The following is a 20791-nucleotide window of genomic DNA, read 5'->3' on the forward strand; positions in this document are numbered from 1 at the left end:
TAGCTGGGCATGGTGGCATGCACCTATAATCCCTGCTACTCGGGAGGCTGAGACAGGAGAATCACTTGAACCCAGGAGGTGGAGGTCCCAGTGAACTGGGATGGCGCCATTGTGCTCCAGCCTGGCCAACAGGAACGAAACTCCAACTCAAAAAAAAAAAAAAAGAAAAGAAAAAAGAAAAAGAAACAACTCAAATCCTTAAGGGCTTGCTAGTCACACTTCACTCACTTAAGGCTTTGCAGGAAAGCCTAAAAGCTGCTAGTAGCTGGTGCATTTTGCAGGCAAATGAACAAAAGTTCTTTTTTTTTTTTTAAGAGCCATTTTGGTACTTTTCTCCACATAGATTTGAAAACTTCAAACCATTCTCCCCTACCCACCCTCACCCTGACTTTTTCAGCACTCCTCTTCACCAGTGTACCAAGGACAGAATGGTGGGAGCTGTTCAGATAGAGTGCAGGCTATAAGGGACTGCATTGCATAGAGGGAATTTTTTTTTTTTGAGACAGTGTCTCGCTCTGTTGCCCAGGCTAGAGTGCAGTGGTGCCACCTCGGCTCACTGTAACCTCCACCTCCTGGGTTCAAGCGATTCTTCTGCCTCAGCCTCCCGAGTAGCTGGGACTACAGGCACGCACCACCAAGCCCGGCTAATTTTTGTGTTTTTAGCAGAGACATGGTTTCACCATATTGGCCAGGATGGTCTCGAACTTCTGACCTCGTGATTCACCCGCCCCCCATCGCCCCTCAAAGTGTTGGGATTACAGGCATGAGCCACCACGCCCAGCCCCTAGAGGGAATTTTAAAACAATAATAAAACCGACCCAAAGTCTGTCTGCCTTTTGTTATTACTAAGCACTGGTAGAGTTGTGAACAATGTCATTGATACTCCTCCCTGCCAGGATTGATTACTCCTACCACATCCACACTCTGGCCCCTCCCCGCATGCCACTCCCTGTCACCTAGGGATTTGAAGATCCTCAAGTTTGCTCTGTCTTCTGCAGGGCTGGGCACCAGTAGACATGCCAAAGAATACCTAATCGACAATTAGCCACTCTAATAAACTAAGCTTGCTAATACGATAATGAGGGGAAATAAGGCTTCTTGTCTTCCCCACCCCTAGCACACTCATTAAGAAACCTCCCTACATTCTCAAATAATGTCTGCCTCTTAAGAGGTCCCTTGAAGATGACACCCCTTCTTTTGTTGGCTAATCCAAAGCTGGTATTTCCAGCTACTTAGGACAGGATTGCAAAAGCAGGGTGTACAAGTGGGAGGGCTGGGGGAGACTGCTTGCTTCACCAATGCACATTCCCCTATTGGGAAGCACTAATGGTTAGTACATATTCTCCAAGCACTTGATGGGCTGGTCTTTTCTATCCATATTTATGAGGTTAATGTCTAAAATTCTGTTTCAGGCATACATGAATCATTCCTTTCCATACTGTTTGTAGGAGATTTGCCAATGCTATTCTCTTATTCATTTTGGTGAGGTCAGGTCATTTGCCTACTTTTGAATTTGCAATTAGGATAGGTTCTATTGAGCTTGACCAAAGATTCAAGAATAAGTATAGGCAAATATTTGTGGTGCTGGAACATAGAAGGGCCCACTGCCATATTTAAGGAAATGGAAAGAGAGAGTCTGTGGCTAAGCCCACAGGAATACAACCTTTGCATGGCAAGCACCATTGAGAAAATGTGGCAGCTGGATATGAGGTATCTGAGGCTATGCTTTTAAAATTGAGGTATAGGCCTGGTGCAGTGGCTCACGCCTTGGGAGGCTGAGGTGGGCAGATCACTTGAGGTCAGGCATTTGAGACCAGCCTGGCTAACATGGTGAAATCCCGTCTCTACCAAAAATACAAAAATTAGCTGGGCGTGGTGGTGAGCGCCTGTAATCCCAGCTACTTGGGAGGCTGAGGCAGGAGAATCGCTTGAACGCAGGAGGCAGAGTTTGCAGTGAGCCGAGATTGTGCCACTGCACTCCAGCCTGCACGATAGAGCAAGACTCTCTCTCTCAAAATAAAAAAAAATAAATAAATAAAATTGAGGTATAATTTACATATAATAAAGTGCACAGATTTAATGTGTACAGCAAACCATATTTTTCCACACCCATTTAACCTCCTTGAGATCCAGCACCTCATGCCTCTTCAGTCAATATCCCTGCAAAGGTAACCAGTATTCTCATGAGGTCCCCTTTTCATGTCAATGATTTCTTATTGGTGCATTTTACCCAAGAGTAGGATAATAAAAACATAAAAACAAACAAGAAAAAAACAAAAAGAGTGGAATAATATCATTATTTTGTGGCTCCTAGGCTAACTCACTATTGACATTGGCAGCACCTGGGACTGTCCTGGGATTGTTAGGACTTGCACCTAAATCTCCCAGCAATCATGGTATTTGTCAGAAGGTGCCTACTTTTTGGCTCTTGTTGTTAGCCCAGGACGGTTCAACAAGACTATACCCAGGTGGAACTACTGGGAAAAAAAATGCCTTTGGTGAAACATAAGGGAAGAGAAGGCAAAGATGTGCCTAGCCACACTCCCTGATCACACTGATGACCCAGCTGAAGTGATGGTGTTTCTGTTTATTTATTTTGGCTTTATTTTTAGCCTGTTGTGAATTTACTTAGCTAATGAACCTTAAAAGCAGCACATAATCAAGATTGTAAGGTTAACATCTGAGTTAGGAAACCAAGCTCGGCTGGGCATAGTGGCTTACGCCTGTAATCTCAGCACATTGGGAGGCCGAGGCAGGTGGATCACCTGAGGTCAGGAGTTCAAGACCAGCCTGGCCAACATGATGAAACCCTGTCTCTACCAAAGATACAAAAATTAGCCGGGCATGATGGTGCACGCCTGTAGTCCCAGCTACTCGGGAGGCTGAGGGAGGAGAATTGCTTGAACCTAGGAGGCGGCGGTTGCAGTGAGCCAACATCACGTCACTCTACTCCAGCCTGGGCAACAGAGTGAGACTCCATATCAAGAAAAAAAAAAAAGAAAAAAAGAAAGCTCACAAGCTCACAAGCTGGATATCCTTATCTTCGGTCATTACTCACCCTTAAATATAGTGGACATTCAATAAATATTTGTTGGGCCAGGTGTGGTGGCTCATGCTTTAATCCCAGCAGTTTGGGAGGCAGAGGCGGGTGGATCACCTGAGGTCAGGAGTTTGAGACGAGCCTGGCCAACATGGTGAAACCCTGTCGCTACTAAAAATACAAAAATTAGCTGGGCATGGTGGCAGGCGCCTGTCATCCCAACTACTCGGGAGGCTGAGGTAGGAGAATCGCTTGAACTCGGGAGGCGGAGGTTGCAGTGAGCCGAGATCGTGCCATTGCACTCCAGCCTGGGTGACAAGAGCGAAACTCCATCTCAAAATAAATAAATAAATAAATAAATAAATAAATAAATAAATAAATAAATATTTGTTGGACTAAACTATGACTGGTTTTGAAATTAGTATATGAAGTGTAAAGAAGTTACCAACTTGAGCATGCCAGTTTCTCCCTTATTTCTCCTTCAGCTAGTCTGCCTTGCATTCCCCCATTTCCAGACTAAAACCTAGCCATTTATCGATGTGGAGCCCAAGCTGGTGATGGTTGTTTATTCCCACAGATAAATCAGTTAACACAACTACTGATCCCTTTCTGTGTGCAAGGCGCTGTATGAGGCATTGTGGAGAGAACTAAAGAAGTACAAGTATACATGTCCTGCAGAGCTCTTATCCCAGTCTCTGCAAATATTTCTGTGGCTGGAGATAGTATATTGGTTCAGGACATGGAGTCTGGGGCCTGAATTCAAAGCCTGACCCTGCCATTTACCAACCGAGGGCCTTTGGGCAAGTTACTTAACCTCTCTGTACCTCAGCTTTCTTATCTGTAAAATGGGGATGACAAGATAACTGCCTCATATGGTTAATACAAAGTTAATATATGTAAAGAACTTAAAGAAGAGCCTGTATCACAATAAGCAGTATTAAAGAGTTTGCTCATTTTGTAGCCCCAGGGCTAAAGCAGACCCCTTATCTTAAAATATGCCAAGAACTGAACTGTGTATTGCAGGATATCACCTATTTGTAATATTCAACATAGCTTTACTATAGAATATTTTGCAACCAACTACATGTGAAATTTCTGGACTTGGAAACCAAGCAGCGCAAAACTATGCAATGAGCTTGGGCTTTGGAGTCATACAGACACAGGGATGTGATAAGAATCCAGGCTCCACCATTCACTGTGTGCCCATGAGCAAGTTGCATAACATCTTTGAGCTTCAGTTTCCTCATCTGTAAATAGGGGAATAATACATACTTCTTAAGGCTACTGCAAAGATCAAATAAGTAATACATTTGAAGCACTTGGGACAGAGCCTGCTACATAGTAAGTGCTCATTAAGTGTTAGTTATCATTGTTGTTGTTTTTAGGCCAAGGTTGTTGTGAAAATTAAATGAGATAATATATAAAAGGTATTTAGCTCAATATCTGGCACATAGCAATAATTGAATAGATGATCCTTCATCTTCGTTCCTCCTGTTCCCTTTCAGTTTGAAAGACTTGGCTAATATAATTTTGACCAACCAAACTTGCATTCAAGGGAGTGTACAAGGCTGGTATAGCCAGCCAGTGAGTATCAGAATCTAAATGTTTATTAAGACAAAGGGCTGTCATGCAATAACCCAACCATACCATTATCAGTCTGCCATCCTTCCTGTTTCTCTAGGCAGCCTTTCCTGATGTCAACTCAACCAGTTAATCTCTCAGTCACTTGACATGTGGCTATATATACACACAAATATGTGTGCATGCATCCTGTGCTGCAAGCATTTACAGTCAAGTTTATCTGAACACACTGTATGGTTGATGTGAAATGCTGAAACTGTTCAAGTTTAGGTCCTCACAAAGCAAGGAATATGAAATATTTCCTTGGGAAATATTTATCCACAACAAAGAGATGTACAGTGCTTTCGTATACAGTGATTTACAGTTTTCCATGTGCTTTTACATGTATTATTACTTCATTTGATCCTTACAACAACCCCAGAGGTAGATGTGGCATGAATTACCATTATTCTCCTTTGAGAAGAAGAAACTGAGCATCAAAGAAGCTTGTTGGCCTTCTTGCCAGAAATCACCCAGTTTGTAAATGGTAAAAGAGGGCTTGAAACCAGGTTCTCTGACTCTGACTTCAAGCACTCTCATACATCATCTATTTAATTTTTTGGAGCTAGGTATTTTATACTTAGGATTCTAAATATTGCATAACCATTGAATGCCACACCACCCTTGTATTCAGTGCAAAAAATGGGACTTTTCTTAATAAATAGAGAAATGGAGGTGCCTAAAATTACAAAATTGCACTAGAGAGATAGTGATAGAACTGGGAAACTCTTAGTCTAATATTTTATCTTTTATTCATATGATGGAATACTAAGCTCAATTGTATTACTAATATTGAAACAAAATACAAACTTTCCTTTGTTTCTTTGTTATTTGTCTTTCTTTCCTCCCTCATCCCCTTCCTTCTTTCCTTGCTTCCTTCCTTCCTGTCTCCCTCCTCCCCTCCCTCTCTCTTTCTTTTCTCCCCTTCTATCCATTTTTTTCTTCTTTTCTCTCTACGTTTCTCCTTTCTCTTTCTTTCTCGTTTCTCTCTTCCTTCTTTCCTTTTCCTCCCGTCTATCTCCTCTTCCTTCCTTTCCTTCTTTCTTTGGAAACATTTATTTTCCAAATAATTCTCACCGTTTTTGAGCTGGTGAATCCACCGCTTCCTTAGTTCTTCAGTTGGGGAGAAGACGTAGAGAGGCCCTTCATCATATACAACCTGGGTCGATGAAAACACAGACTTCAGCAGTTAGGATTCAGAAAAAAGGAGAAAGACCTTGAAAGTACTAATCTTAGGGGACAATTTGTATATTTATTGTAGAAAACAAAGAAAGGCAGAATCTTCAGTCAGCAATGGTGTTCAGGTTATGTGAACTATCTGAAGGATTCCTGAACTCTTCATATCTAGGAATGTAGCGTTTAAAAGCTCTTAGAATTTTTCATACTCTTAGGTCCTCCTGACTTGTGCTTCAATTCATGCATAAACTTATTTTATAAGGTCTCCGTCTGCCCTTGCTGGAGATAACATTTTTGTTTATCCAACAAAGGGTATTTTATCTTATTATTAAATTCTGACTTTGTATAGAAGAGAAATGAAGTGATAATCTATATAAATTAAGTCTTGATTAGTACATATGGGTTATTCACTTGGATAATATGGAGTAAAATTTTAATTCATGGCTAATTACCTCCACCTCCACTACCTAGTGGCCTCCCCTCACCAATATTAGCCAAAATAAATCAAATTTGGAACTACAAACCTACTTCAAAAAGGGTAAGGTATATAATAAGCAATATCATCAAGTCAAATAGTATTTTTTTAACCATGTACAAGGCATCATGCTAGGTGTTACGAAGATGCATGAAATATATAAGATGTGGTTCCAACCCTCACAGAGTTTATAGACATCACATAATAAATTCTGAAGTCAAATATAAATTAATTTAAAATTATCTGCTGTTCAGCATTGTTCACTAGTGCAGCCAAACAATGTCATCTTGTTGAAAGGCATTGGTAGTAAAAACTGTGTCTGAAATACCCCTCTTTCAAAGGTTTCGTAAATTTGATATAGTCAGGGACACGAACAAGATCCTTTTACATTTTTCTTTTTGCTTGTTAGTCTTGCTGTGCTCATAAATCCATGACAGAAAGCCCCCTCCCCTGAGACTTTCCACTTCCTTTTCTGGCTTTCACTGTTGCAGAGGCTGCTATATTCACGACATGTGGCCTACAGAGTTCTCAGGATGTAAGCAAGCCAAACTGAAGACCAAATTTGTAGTTCTTGCTCTCCTAAACAGATGCATATGTGGCACTTCAGCTCTTCCAGATTACAACAGAATTTAGGTTTATGCATAAGTCTAATAAGTCTTCCTCATACTGAACTTCCTAATACTACTCCCCTTTTCTATCTTTTCAACCCACATGACCACTATTAGACAGATAGTCAGAACCAGAAGGAAGTGAAATGCTCACTCAACAAGCAGAGCATCTTTCTCAATGCAGTTATCATAGACAAGACACACTATGATAGAATTGGTGCTGCTATGTATTCTTTTTGAGGTATAGAGACTAAAAGAAACTATGTTAGATTAGGTAAATAGAAAAGCAAACATTCTTAGCCCATGCCAGTCTCATTTCTTGGTTCAGCATCCTTGTCCACCTCAACTTCTATTCACTGGGTCCTCGTAGCCTTCCCTCTGCCCTGCACCCCACCACCCCTTCTAATTGTGTTACAGGGGCCTTTCGAGATTTGGTGAGAGAAAATAACTCACCTGGAAGGGATAAGGGAACCTTTCAATGATTGAAATTTGCTCCATTTCACTGGACTCTTCACCTCTTCTCTGTAATGAAATAAGAAAAAATGGTTATTGGTTGATGCATTGCTCTTTTCTGAATTTCCTTAGGTACTAGAAGCCTTTTGCTGTGGCTTCAGAAGTTTCTCCTGCACAGACAAGGCTGATTCTTAGTGATTACTTTCTATAGGCCAATAGGGACACATATCCAATACGACCCAACACATACCCAGTCAAGAGAGACTCAGGTATTTCAAATCACTGGGAAAATGGAGGTTTCTAAAAAATTGTTGTTGGGACAAATATTTAACCACTAACGTTGTGGGGAGGAGAGGAGTTAGGTAGCTATGCTACACCATACACCAAAGAAAATTCCAGATGGATTCAAGAGCTTAATATAAAAAATAAAACTATGAATGACTGAGAGTAAATATAAGCAATTATTTATATAATCCTGTGGGAGGCAAGCTTTTTCTAATATAAGGATGAAACTTAGAACTATTAAGAAAAACCTGAACTAATTTGATGACATAGACTTTAAATCCCTATATGGCAAAAAGCATCATAAACAAAATTGAAAGATAAAGGATAAACTGAAAAACATTTTCAACATACTTTACAGTTAAAGGATAAATGTTCTTATATCAAGATCTCTTTAAAAGTATTAGAAATGAGGTAAACATCTCAATGTAAAAAATGGACCAAAAATTAATGGGCAATTCACAAATAAAATATAAATGAGCAGTAGACCAACTTTATGAGTAAAAGAAATTGCAAAATAAGTTAGCAATAAAATGCTATTTTTTTTTTTTGAGACGGAGTCTTGCTCTGTCGTCCAGCCTGGATGTGCAGTGGTGCGATCTCGGCTCACTGCAACCTCCGCCTCCTGGGTTCAAGGGAGTCTCCTGCCTCAGCCTCCCGAGTAGCTGGGATTACAGGCTCGCGCCACCATGCCCAGCTAATTTTTGTATTTTTAGTAGAGACGGGGTTTCACCATGTTGGTCAGGCTGGTCTCGAACTCCTGCTCATGATCCGCCTGCCTTGGCCTCCCAAAGTGCTGGGATTACAGGCGTGAGCCACCACGCCCCACCTGAAATGCTATTTTTCTTGGCTGTCAAATTAACTAATATTTAAAATATCTAGTGTTGGGCTGGGCACAGTGGCTCACGCCTGTAATCCCAGCACTTTGGGAGGCCGAGGTGGGAGGATCACTTGAGGTCAGGAGTTTGAGATCAGCCTGACCAATCTGGTGAAACCCCATCTCTACTAAAAATACAAAAATTAGCAGGGTGTGGTGGTGGGCGCCTGTAGTCCCAGCTACTCAGGAGGCTGGGGCAGGAGAATCACTTGAACCGGAGGCAGAGGTTACAGTGAGCGGAGATCGCACCACTGCACTCCAGCCTGGGCGACACAGCGAGACTCCATCTCAGAAAATAATAATAATAATAAAAATAACAAAATATCTAGTGTTGGAAAAAATGTACAGAAACAGGCACTCTCATACATAGCTTGTAGGTGTGTATGAAATTCAATTCCACTTCTAGAAAATGAAATAAAAAGATAAAAATAACCAAAGTGCACAGATTTTCTTAAAGAGAAGAACAAAATTTTACTTCTAGGAAATTATCATAAGGAAAAGAATAAAAAAAGTACAGAAAGATGTATGCAAGATTGTTCCTCTCAACATGGTTTATACTATCAAGTACTTGTAGACAAACCGAATGTGTAATAATGGGAGATTAAACAAATTACAATACATCCATAATAGGGAATACCATACAGTCATTAAAATCATGTTATTAAAGAATATCTATTGTCATGGGGAAAAGTTTCCCACATATCGTTACATTGAAAAAGTACGTTACAAAGCAAGATGTGTACTATGAGTCTATGTTTTAAATATATGACATATATATAAGTGTATGCGTATGTGTTCTCAGTGAAGAAAAACATCTGTAAGTCTATGTACACCAATATGTTGATAGTTGTTTTAACTGGGTAACAGGATTATGCATCATTTTAATCTTTTTGTATTTTTTATATATTCCAGAGTTTCTGTAATAAATACGCAATTCTCCTGTGATCAAGAAAATACTGAAAATGGTCAGACCCAGTGGGTGGCTCACGCCTGTAATCTTTGCACTTTGGGAGGCCGAGACAGGCGGATCACTTGAGGCCAGGAGTTCAAGACCAGCCTGGCCAACATGGTGAAACCCCGTCTCTACTAAAAAAATACGAAAAATTAGCCAGGCATGGTGGTGCACACCTGTAATCCCAGCTACTTGGGAGGCTGAGGCATGAGAATTGCTTGAACCCGGGAGGTGAAGGTTGCAGTGAGCCAAGATGGCACCAGTGCATTCCAGCCTGGGCAACAGAGCGAGACTCTGTCTAAAAAAAGAAAAAAAAAAGAAAAAAAGAAAATACTGAAATTGATATATATTTTTTAAAAGTGAACTCAAAAATCAGTAGGTTTTATGTCTCTCGCTCCGGAAAGTGAGAAGAGAATAAATAGTAAGGTATTAAAGGATATCATGTGACTCAGAGCCCTAGGATTATGACATTCAGACTTACTTAAGCCTCTAAATCTGATCCTGAGAGAACTGAGGGAATAAAATCAATGATCTCTGACCAGTTTGAAAACTAGATATAGCATCATTTAAAAGTTTGTGTTAACAAATTTTCCATGTTTAGTGAGATGTTCTGAATATGAAGGAAAGAAGCTAAGATTCTTTATAACCAATATGGTAGAGTGAAGAATTTTTAAAGGAAACTTGACCGTGTTCCACGTTGCACAGCATCACCAGTCTATTTACAGAGAATTTAAATGTTGCAAATTTCTTCAAATCTGCTGTTCCCCATCTCAGACATTGGTCTCTTCTTACCGGAATCTGTCTTTCTGGAGGAGGATTTTTTTCAGGAACCACTGTTTCAACACAAGTGATCTTCTCAACATCTATTGAACCCTTCTTACTGCCTCTTCTCTGAGAAGTAGAATGAGGAAGAAAATGGAGAAAGATTAAGAGGGATTAAGCAACCAGATGATTAGATTTTGTTATCTAATCATTCAACAAAGTGAGGTGGCACCAGGACCTGTCATGTGGGGGAAGAAAAAAAAATCCTTCCAGATCTATAAATCTATGACTACCAAATGGAGGGCAAATACCATGGAAGAGTGAATGACTGTATGTACCTTCCTCATAGGAAGTAAGGAAGCAATTTCCAACTCTTCGATTTCATTTTCAACAATCATTTAATGAGTGCTCATCAATTCCAAGATTCCATGGTAATATTTTCCTTGTGGCTTCTTAGGACCTTTGACTTTCCGGCTTTAGCTAGTTATAGGCTAGGAAATATTTTGCTGAATTTGAAAGAACTTAGGTCCATTCTACTCCCCTCCTCCTACCAACGAAAATTTACCTCTTCCCCAAGAAAGATCTAAGGCCAAGTCCTTGATATCTTGAAACTCAGTTTTCATAGTCGAGAAACTTACCCCACGTTCAAAGTCATACTCATAGTAGGAGAGTTTGTGCACGGTCAAGAGAAACAGGCGCTTCTTGAAGTTTAGAGGTGATGTTTTCTTTTTCTGTTGGGATCGCTTCAGAAAGATGCTCTCCAGAATCACTGCGGCCATAGCTTCTTCTTTCTGGAGTTCACCTGTGTGCTGTTGATAATGAAAGTTCCTGAGGACCCAGGACATTAATCCTCATCCCTCTTGGTTCCCCCTCAGCCTAGCTACCTAGTTTCAAATGGAACAAAAATGTGCACAGCTCACAAAATAATTTCTTCCTACCAACCTCCTCCCACAGCCCCCAGCTCTGTCAGGTTTCAGGTATAATGGATGCACACTGAATTGGGGGGGGATTGGTTCGATGTTGTGAGCTCATATAAACTGAGTTCTTGTATAAGGCAATGGAATGCTCTAGATGTTAAATGGCACGCACCTGTGTGCTTGGTAAGGTGTAGAGGTAGCTTTACACTATTCACCTTTATATGATATGTGTAGAATCTGTGAAAAGCAAAAGTATCTGTGCAGCTGTTGATCTTGATATACCCAGAAGGGATAATGCAGGTGCCAGAACTCCACTGAGGCAGATATTGGACTTTCAGTTCCCAATTTCCTAGACGGTGAATATAATTTTTCAAACATTGTCCCACTGGGGTCTGTAACCAAGGGAACTAATAAGGATATGGAGGCTGCACCTGCAGTTCTGGACACACACTAACTGCTGCCCAACTGATTTTGCCCACACCCACTGACTGAGCTACAAAGGATAGAAGATTTGTTCTAAAGTTGAAAACATAATTTTTTTTGGTGGGTTTTGGTGGGGGGGGGGTAGTTGTTGTTTTCTGACCTTTTCCCCATTTAGCTTAAATTAGTTCTTTTAGACAGCATCATGCAAAAGTGATGCAACTGTCTTACTGATATAGATGCCACCTCTGTTCATTTATGAAACACAACTTATTTAGCCTCCCCAAACCTACAATACTCCAGAAGGATTCAATTTAGGTAACTGAAACACAGAAAGACAAATAAAGTTCCCAAAGTCACCACTGGCTTTTTTATTCACACCAAGCAACACTTCATATCAGTTATTCACTTACAGTTTATGCACAGTGTAATATTATTACTAATTCCGAACTTTCATTGGAAAGATAAAGTGAAAACAAATGCTGTCATAAAAATAGAACACTAGGCCGGCGCGGTGGCTCACATCTGTAATCCCAGCACTTTGGGAGGCCGAGGCTGGCGGATCACCTGAGGTCAACAGTTCAAGACCAACCTGGCCAACATGGCAAAACCCCGTCTCTACTAAAAATACAAAAATAGCCGGGCGTAGTGGTGGATGCCTGTAATCCCAGCTACTCGGGAGGCTGAGGCAGGAGAATCGCTTGAACCCAGGAGGCGGAGGTTGCAGTGAGCCGAGATTGTGCCATTATACTCCAGTCGGGGCAACAAGAGCGAAACTCCGTCTCAAAAAACAAAATCAAAAACAACAACAAAAAAACACTAAGTAAGTAACGAAAAAACCACCAGCCCTCCATTCAAGTTTAATTAGTGGTAGGGATTTTTCCTCTGGTGGGGGGGTGGGGGTGGGAATGTGTCTATTTTTTAAGTAAACTCCTTATGCTTTTGGTGGCACCGTGGAAGCAGAATGAATAAAGCCAGCAGTTTTTTTCTACTTTTTAAGCAGATTATTGCTCACACTAGGAAAGCAAGGGAGTGAATTTTATCAAAGCCTGGGGGCTATCCACACTGTTATTTTGCTCTTTCCTGTGGTGTAGGAGGTTCTATTCTCATGCTGGGGAGACGAAAATACGTCAAAGGAACACCAGGGGTGTTCTGGAAGATCGCTTTGCCACTTATCTACCATGTGTATGCCACTATCTTCTGGAGGTGGATTAATTCAATATTTTGTAAATTAGATTTTGAGAAAAATTGGGCAAGAGTGCAAACCTTTCCCTCCACCCTGCCACACACCCTGACTCCCTGGTTTAAATGGTCTCTCACTGGAGTGACAAATTGATGAGTTTACAATCAGCCCTTCCCAACACTCAGTTTTAGCTCTAAACTCAAAGAGGTTCATTTTAACATTACAATTATGCATTTACTCAGGAGTAGTGGTAACCAAATAATACTACTCTATTCTCAGGAACTACCAACTCATTGAGAGCCCTGTAATCATACCACAATTATTCTTGTGGCAAATTATAATTAAGTACCTCTTCACAATCAAAGACTCAAATTACAGGATAAAAAATAAAACCCTAAATAAATTGAGTACTGTGACCAGTAAATGGGGTCAGAAGCATCCCAACAAACCATGTCTGGTGTACTTCTCTTAGCCGAATAAATCGCAGGCAACATTTTATCTTTAGTTTTGTTGCAGGCTCTTGGTGGATACATTCCCTGCTTAGACCCACCATCTGTTTCATTCTTGTCCCCTGCTCTTACTTCCTATAAGACAGGTCCTTCTGGAAGCTGCCTCTACTCTTTCTCTGTTTTAGAACAAATCCAGTTTGTACAAGAGGAAGTCTTCCTCTCTCTCAAGTATCTGTGTTTGGGCAGGGTTTAGTGCTGCTCTGACTATGAGGAAGTAAGCAAGTCTCTCACTAGCCATCGCCCCTCTGAGCAAAAGGTGAAATGGCCTCCACCTCTAGATCATTGAGCTAGAGGTCTACCAGAATTGCCATGATTTGGTACCACCTTCTTTGACTGCTTTTCTCCTGTTTCTTATGATCCAGTCCAGACTCACACAGCCTGAAAATGTGGTAGCTCTTCCTTAGGTGCCACTGGTCCATCACTCAATAATGTGAAAGGAAAGGGATCCATTTTTGAGTCCTCCAGAAGGTTGGTGTGTAACACACAGCTCTGAGTTAAAAAGTAGTTAGAGGGTAAAGCTTCTGTGGGTACTTATTGTGAAAGGCCCCATTTTTTTTTTTTTTTTTTGAGACGGAATCTTGCTTTGTTGCCCAGGCTGGAGTGCAGTGGCACGATCTTGGCTCACTGCAACCTCCATCTCCTGGGTTCAAGCAATTCTCCTGCCTCGGCCTCCCAAGTAGCCGGGATTACAGGCGTGTGCCACCACACCTGGCTAATTTTTGTATTTTTAGTAGAGGTGGGGTTTCCCCATGTTGGCCAGGCTGGTCTTGAACTCCTGACCTCAGGTGACCTGCCTACCTTGGCCTCCCAAAGTGCTGGAATTACAGGTATGAGCCACCGTGCCTGGCCAGTAAAGGCCCCAATTTTTTTAAAACAATTTCAGTAGCCTACAGAGTCGGTTTGACCACAAAATATGCACAATGATGGCTAACCCTGAGCTCCACTCAGGGTGAAGGGTGGAAATGGAAGTGACTTGAATGTCTCAAACATACAGACACACACACACACACACACACACACACACACACACCACTGTTGTTTATAGAAAGAAAGAAATGGGGGAGGAGAAAAAATAGACACAGAGCTCTTCATTTAAAATATGGAGTTCCAGTGTTACAATGTCCCCTTTATTAAATTATAAATGCAAAGATTTTTACAGGGCCACCTTTTGCAGCCTCCCAGCTCCCTATGGAGCAACAGAATTCAGAAAGACGAAGCTTATTAACAAGAGTGCAGCCATCATACAAACTGCAGTATGCCAAGGAATTAATAGAAATAGCACTTGCAGAATCAGTAAACTAAACCATCTTGGGCTCTTATCTTCGCTCATAAGATAAAATACTATTAAGAATAATAAGTCCAGGCGCAGTGGCTCATGCCCGTAATCCCAGCACTTTGGGAGGCTGAGGCTGGCGGATCACTTGAGGTCAGGAGTTAGAGACCAGCCTGGCCAACATGGTGAAATCCCGTCTCTATTAAAATACAAAAAATTAGCCGGGCGTGGTGACAGGCGCCTGTAGTCCCAGCAACTCAGGAGGCTGAGGCAGGAGAATCGCTTGAACTCGGGAGGCGGAGGTTGCAGTGAGCCAAGATCGTGACACTGCACTCCAGCCTGGAGTCTCAAAAAAAAAATAAAAAATAAAAATAAAAAAAAAAAAGAAGAAGAATACCAGAGCAAAATTCAGAAAACTACACAGCCAGCCTATGATTGGGAAGAGTCTATGAGATATGATTTAAAATAAAATAACCAGTCAACTGTACTTCAAATGACTACTTAGCCAAAATATCCAAGAAGTAGTGTTTTCTCTTGATTTCTCCTTGAAAGCACTACTCAATTGGCTAGGAAGATTCTGGCCATTCCCTGTCTTTCCTTAGGGGGATGGAATGGAACTTCTGTTCCTTTCAGTGACTTCTACCTGACAGGCATTTTACAGGCATTATTTCATTTATTCCTCACAACAAACAGATGAGGAAACTGACACAGAGGTTATGTGACTTGTCCAACCTCATCCATCTGTAGCTCTTGGTATATCATCTATAGCCCTTGCTTTTTTTGTGGTGTTTCACTGCCTACCGGAGGGATTTTTGTTCGTTTATTTGTTTTTTGGTCTTTGATGAGGTTGATGCCATCTGCCTTGGGGCCCCTGTCATTCTCCATGGCTATCATCAAAGAGCAGTTGTGACAAACTCCTCTCCATTTTCTAGGAATGTTCAGCAAGAGAGGAAATGGTGGTAAATACAGGAGATAAGAGAGTATTCAAGATCCTAAGCTCTTTCCTCTGCAATATTCCTCCAGGCTGGTAAGGATGATCTGTCTCTGGTAACTGTCAACTATACTTTTTTTGCACTTGAGGACTCTTCTTAGTCTTGCCAGGTTTTCTTACATTTTCCCTCTTTAAATCATTCCCAAGGAGATTCTGTCTAACTAGTGAATTTCTAGAGTCACTTGTTGTTTCCTTTCCTGGATGTTTCATTGTTGATGGAATGAAAGCACAGTGTTTAGGTGGAACATCCACCCTTCTCTGTCCCTAGGGTTCTTATTGCTTACTGTGAATATAAAACTTTGATCAAATATACCTTCTATTTTTTTGAGACAGGGTCTCACTCTGTCACCCAGGATGGAGTGCAGTAGCAAGATCACCACTCACTGCAGCCTCCACCTCCTGGGCTCAAGCGATCCTCCTGCCTCAGCCTCTCAAGTAGCTGGGACTACAGGTGTGCACTACCACACCCAGCTAATTTTTAATTTTTTTGTAGAGACACGGGTCTCACTTTGTTGCCTAGGCTAGTCTCAAACTCCTGGATGCAAGTGATCTTCTTGTCTCAGCCTTCCAAAGTGTGGGGATTACAGGCATGAGCTGCTGCACCTGGCCTCAAATATACTTTGTTTTATATTATGAAATATTTCAAATAGAAAGTACAGGGACTATAACATTACAATCTTGGACTCACCGCTTAGCTCTACAAAATCCTAAAATTGTGCCATATTGCCTCACGTGTTAAGAAGTGAGATACAATCTATATAATCAAGACCCCTTTATGTACTCCAAAATCTTAGTCTTCTCCCTCCATAGAGATTACCAATATCTTGAGTTTGGTGTTTATCATTCCTAGGTATGTTTTCATATTATTATTACAGATGTAAGTATCTATAAAAGATATATAGTATTGGTTTACATGTTTAAAATTTACATATGGCCAGGTGCGGTAACTCAGGCCTGTAATCCCAGCACTTTGGGAGGCTGAGGCGGGTGGATGACAAGGTCAGGAGTTTGAGAGCAGCCAGCCTGACCAACATGGAGAAACCCTGTCTCTACTAAAAATACAAAAACTAGCTGGGCCAACGCTACTCTCCCAGCTACTCAGGAGGCTGAGGCGGGAGAATCCCTTGAACCCGGGAGGCAGAGGTTGCAGTGAGCCGAGATCTTGCCATTGCACTCCAGCCTGGGCAACAAGAGTGAAACTCGGTCGCGAAAAAAAAAAAAAAAAAAAAAGAAAATTTATATATATATATATGGTACACATTCTCCAGCAACTTGCTTTTTTCCCCTCAATATAATATGTTAGGATTTATTTATCTGGCTAGTTCTACTTCATATGTTTTAATTCATTTTTATATGCATAAAATATTCTATATGATGAATACATTCCAATATATTTATTCATTCTCCTGTTGATGGACATTTAGGTTGTTTGCTTTCAGTGATAAACAATGCTGCTGTGAACATTATTTTGATTTTTTGATCTCAGAATGAATTCTCAGTTACTTAGACAAACTGGCAAACCTAGGTCCAGCTTATCTTTTGGACTATGCAATTTGCATCATTCCTTCTTGCCTTTTCAGTCCTGTCTTCCTGATGCTTCACTATGAAATGTGGTAGAATTATCAACTATCTCTAGTGGGAGGTTAAATTTGGCCTACGGAAAATCTCTTCCCAGTCCCAAGAAGCATCCTTCACGTTCTAACTGAGATTTCAATTGAGAATTCCTTGGCCTTGGGACCAGAAGAGAACGTGTTAAGAACTGAAATACTATCTATATAATCAAGACCCCTTTATGTACTCCAAAATCTTAGTCTTCTCCCTCCTTAGAGATTACCAATATCTTGAATTTGGTGTTTATCATTCCTAGGTACGTTTTCATATTATCATTACAGATGTAAATATCTATAAAAGATATACAGTATTGGTTTACATGTTTAAAATTTACATATGGCCACGTGTGGTAGCTCATGCCTGTAATCCCAGCACTTTGGGAGGCTGAGGCGGCTGGATGGCAAGGTCAGGAGTTTGAGAGCAGCCAGCCTGACCAACATGGAGAAACCCTGTCTCTACTAAAAATACAAAAATTAGCCTGGCGTGGTGGCGCGCACCTGTAATCCCAGTTACTCAGGAGGCTGAGGCAGGAGAATTGCTTGAACCCAGGAGGCGGAGGTTGCAGTGAGCCGAGATCGTGCCACTGCACTCCAGCCTGGGTGACAGAGTCAGACTCCGTCTCAAAAAAAAAAAAAAAGAAAAAAGAAAAAAAAATCATACCCACAGCAACAAAGCAACCTTTAATCTTGTTAAATTCCCAAGATGCTTTTGTTCGGGCCCCAGTGAAACCCAATTATTTTATGATAAGCTTCATAGTCAAGGCTACAGGGGACCAAATTTGTGATGAAGGCATCAAGCCAAACTCAATTTTCGAAAGCTGCATGCTGACCAGGGAAACTCTCCTGCTGTAGTCATTTACAGGAGGCCTTAGGGCTCTCTGGTTCTTCCACAGCAGTTCATGTTTTATTTATTTATTTATTTATTTATTTATTTTTGAGACAGAGTCTCGCTCTGTCATCCAGGCTTCGGTACAGTAGCGCAATCTTGGCTCACTGCAATCGCTACCTCCCAGTTTCAAGCAATTCTCTTGCCTCAGCCTCCTGAGTAGCTTGGACTACAGCCGCACACCATGACACCTGCCTCGGCCTCCCAAAATGCTGGGATTACAGGCTTGAGCCACCGCGCCTGGCCTTATGTTTTTAGCATTTTACATTTTTCTTCTGTGGTTTTGGAAACTTCTAGGTCTCTGTGATTCATCATCTCTTTTTGTCTTGCATTAGCGACAATATATTCTGGCCAACTGATGATGGAAGGAGAGCCAGAGAGCCAATCTGCAAGTTTATAGTCAGTGCCAGATCAGATCAGTGGTAATACTTTCAATATTCTCCCTCTGCTCTGAGGGTGACTGCTGGGGTGTCTGTCTTTCACTCTGGACTTGTGTGCCCTTTTGGCCTTCTTTTTCAACCTAGTTTTTGTTTTCCTTGGCTTAAACATTTTATTTATTTTTTCCATCGATATCAAAATAACACACGCAGCTGGGTGCAGTGGGGTGCACCTGTAGTCCCAGCTACTCAGGAGGCTGATATTGGAGGATTGCTTGAGCCCAAGAGTTCAAGGTCAGCCTGAGAAACATAGGGAGACCCCCATCTCAAAATAAAACAAAATATAGTAAAATAAAACATGCTTATTGTAGAAAATATGTCAAGTACAGGGATATAAAAAAGAAAAAATCATTCATAAACTCATCCAGAGGCATTAATATATCGGCATATTCCTTCCATTTTTTTCTGTGTGTGTTTCTTATAATATTTGAGATCATATTGCACATTCAGTTAATTTACCTATTTTTCGTAACATCTATGTATGTATGTATGCATGTATGTATGTATCTATCCATCCATCCATCCGTTCAAGGTACCTTTTTCCAAAAAAAGATCTAATGTTCTTATTTAACATTATTCCTAATTATTTTCCCATGTTATTAGGATCTCTATACAAGCATCATTTCCAGAGTCAAAAAAGTATGTGCATTTTGCATTTTGATACATACTGCCAAAATAGTTTCCAGAAACATTGTCCCAATTTCAGTTCCAAATAGTTTTAGAGAGCCCCCTTTCTCATTATCCTTATCTCTTTTCTGGTCCATTTCTAATCATTTTTAAAACTCTGGTTTTACTGCAGACAAATCTTTTTTTTTTTTCATTGAGTCAATGATCTTAAACTCCAGTATATTCCAACTTCCAGCTTGTCTAAAACTTAACTTCTCTTGACTCTAGAATTTCCTTCTTCTAGGGTGAGCTAACAGACTACAGTTTGTTTTCAGTTCAGGGAGGTAGGGCAGTGAGAGGAGCTTCTCCTTGAGATTCAAATAACCAATATAATCCTAAAGACATCTTGTGAGAACTTTCTAAGAGCGGAGAGAAGAGCCTGGTATTAAAGCTTCTGGGTTTCCAATGCTCTCAGATTGCCCTCAGCCACTGCACATGAATCTCCATAGAAACTGAAAGTCACACGTGGCCCAATTGTTTCAGGGTCCTCAGAGGAGTTCTCCCTCCTCCTTCCCCTCCCCAGATGGCTTCATGCATAACCAAGTAGCTTTGGAGTCAAATATGTCAAGGCCTCTTTTCTAGCTTCTTGCTGAGCACTGTGTCACTGAAAATTCTAGTTCTTCCTTATTTTCAGTAGTTAGCAATCAGATCTCAGCAATCAGATCATTGTGGGTGTAGAAGGGGGTATCTGATAACTCTTTGGAGAACGCCCAAACTTTGGTTTTCGAAAGCTGTATCTTCCCTTTATACCTAAGTCACTTCCTGATATGGGTCTAGTCCACTGAAAGGAAACTCTATAGGAAATTTGCTCAAATGGAAATAGCAAATCATAGTGATAATTTAAAATTGCACCAATCCCCCATAACTGGATGGAAAGTTACATTAGTTCGCACCATAAGGAGTTTACAAAGAATTCCAGGGTGGGTGCGGTGGCTCACGCCTGTAATCCTAGCACTTTGGGAGGCCCAAGCAGGCAGATCACCTGAGGTTGGGAGTTCGAGACCAGCCTGACCAACATGGAGAAACCCCGTCTCTACTAGAAATACAAAATTAGCTGGGCGTGGTGGCACATGCCTGTAATCCCAGCTACTTGGGAGGCTGAGGCAGGAGAATTGTTTGAACCCGGGAGGCGGAGGTTGCGGTGAGCTGAGATCCCGAGATCGTGCCATTGCACTCCAGCCTGGGCAGCAAGAGTGAAACTCCGTGTCAAAAAAAAAAAAAAAAAATTCCAAACAAAAATATCAATAGCCATACGCAATGGAAATTTGGACTTCAACACAAGCAAGCAGTTTAAATAGTTTGAATATAAAAGGAGTCAGAATAGACAGGACAAGCCCTAAGGGACACTGTTTGGGTATAATGCTTTAGGTTGCCATGAGTATTTGCATTTTGTGGCTTATTTGGAAAGTGACATTATTTTATCAAATAACTGAGGCTCCAGAGAGGCTGGAGTCTGGGCAACTTATCCAAGGATGTCTTGATTGGGGTCACCAATCACTTTTATTCTAAATGTCATATTATTTGCTCTAGGTAGGCCCTCTGGGGGACATTGGCAGGTCTGAGGCAGAGTAAAAATTATAGCAAATACTGAGATCCAGCACTTACTATTGCCAGGCCCTGTTTTAAAAGCTTTACATGTATTTGCACATTTACT

General features: G+C 41.1%; 1 protein-coding gene across 3 annotated transcripts in view; it reads right to left on the minus strand.

Moving 5' to 3' along the window:
• Positions 1 to 20791, minus strand: part of BTK (Bruton tyrosine kinase) — a 41347-nt gene that overhangs the window by 14811 nt on the left and 5745 nt on the right. For 2 of the 3 annotated variants that reach the window (NM_001287344.2, NM_000061.3), the window contains exons 2-5: positions 10884 to 11054; positions 10276 to 10374; positions 7373 to 7441; positions 5738 to 5819 (exon numbers count right to left, since the gene is read on the minus strand). In NM_001287344.2, the coding sequence (NP_001274273.1) occupies positions 5738 to 5819; positions 7373 to 7441; positions 10276 to 10374; positions 10884 to 11054 (421 nt within the window). Of the gene's footprint in view, positions 1 to 5737; positions 5820 to 7372; positions 7442 to 10275; positions 10375 to 10883; positions 11055 to 13598; positions 13764 to 20791 lie in introns of all 3 variants that reach the window. The other variant, NM_001287345.2, reaches the window with a different exon arrangement.

This window comes from Homo sapiens, chromosome X, assembly GCF_000001405.40.
Source record: "Homo sapiens chromosome X, GRCh38.p14 Primary Assembly".
Classification (NCBI taxonomy): Eukaryota; Metazoa; Chordata; class Mammalia; order Primates; family Hominidae; genus Homo; species Homo sapiens.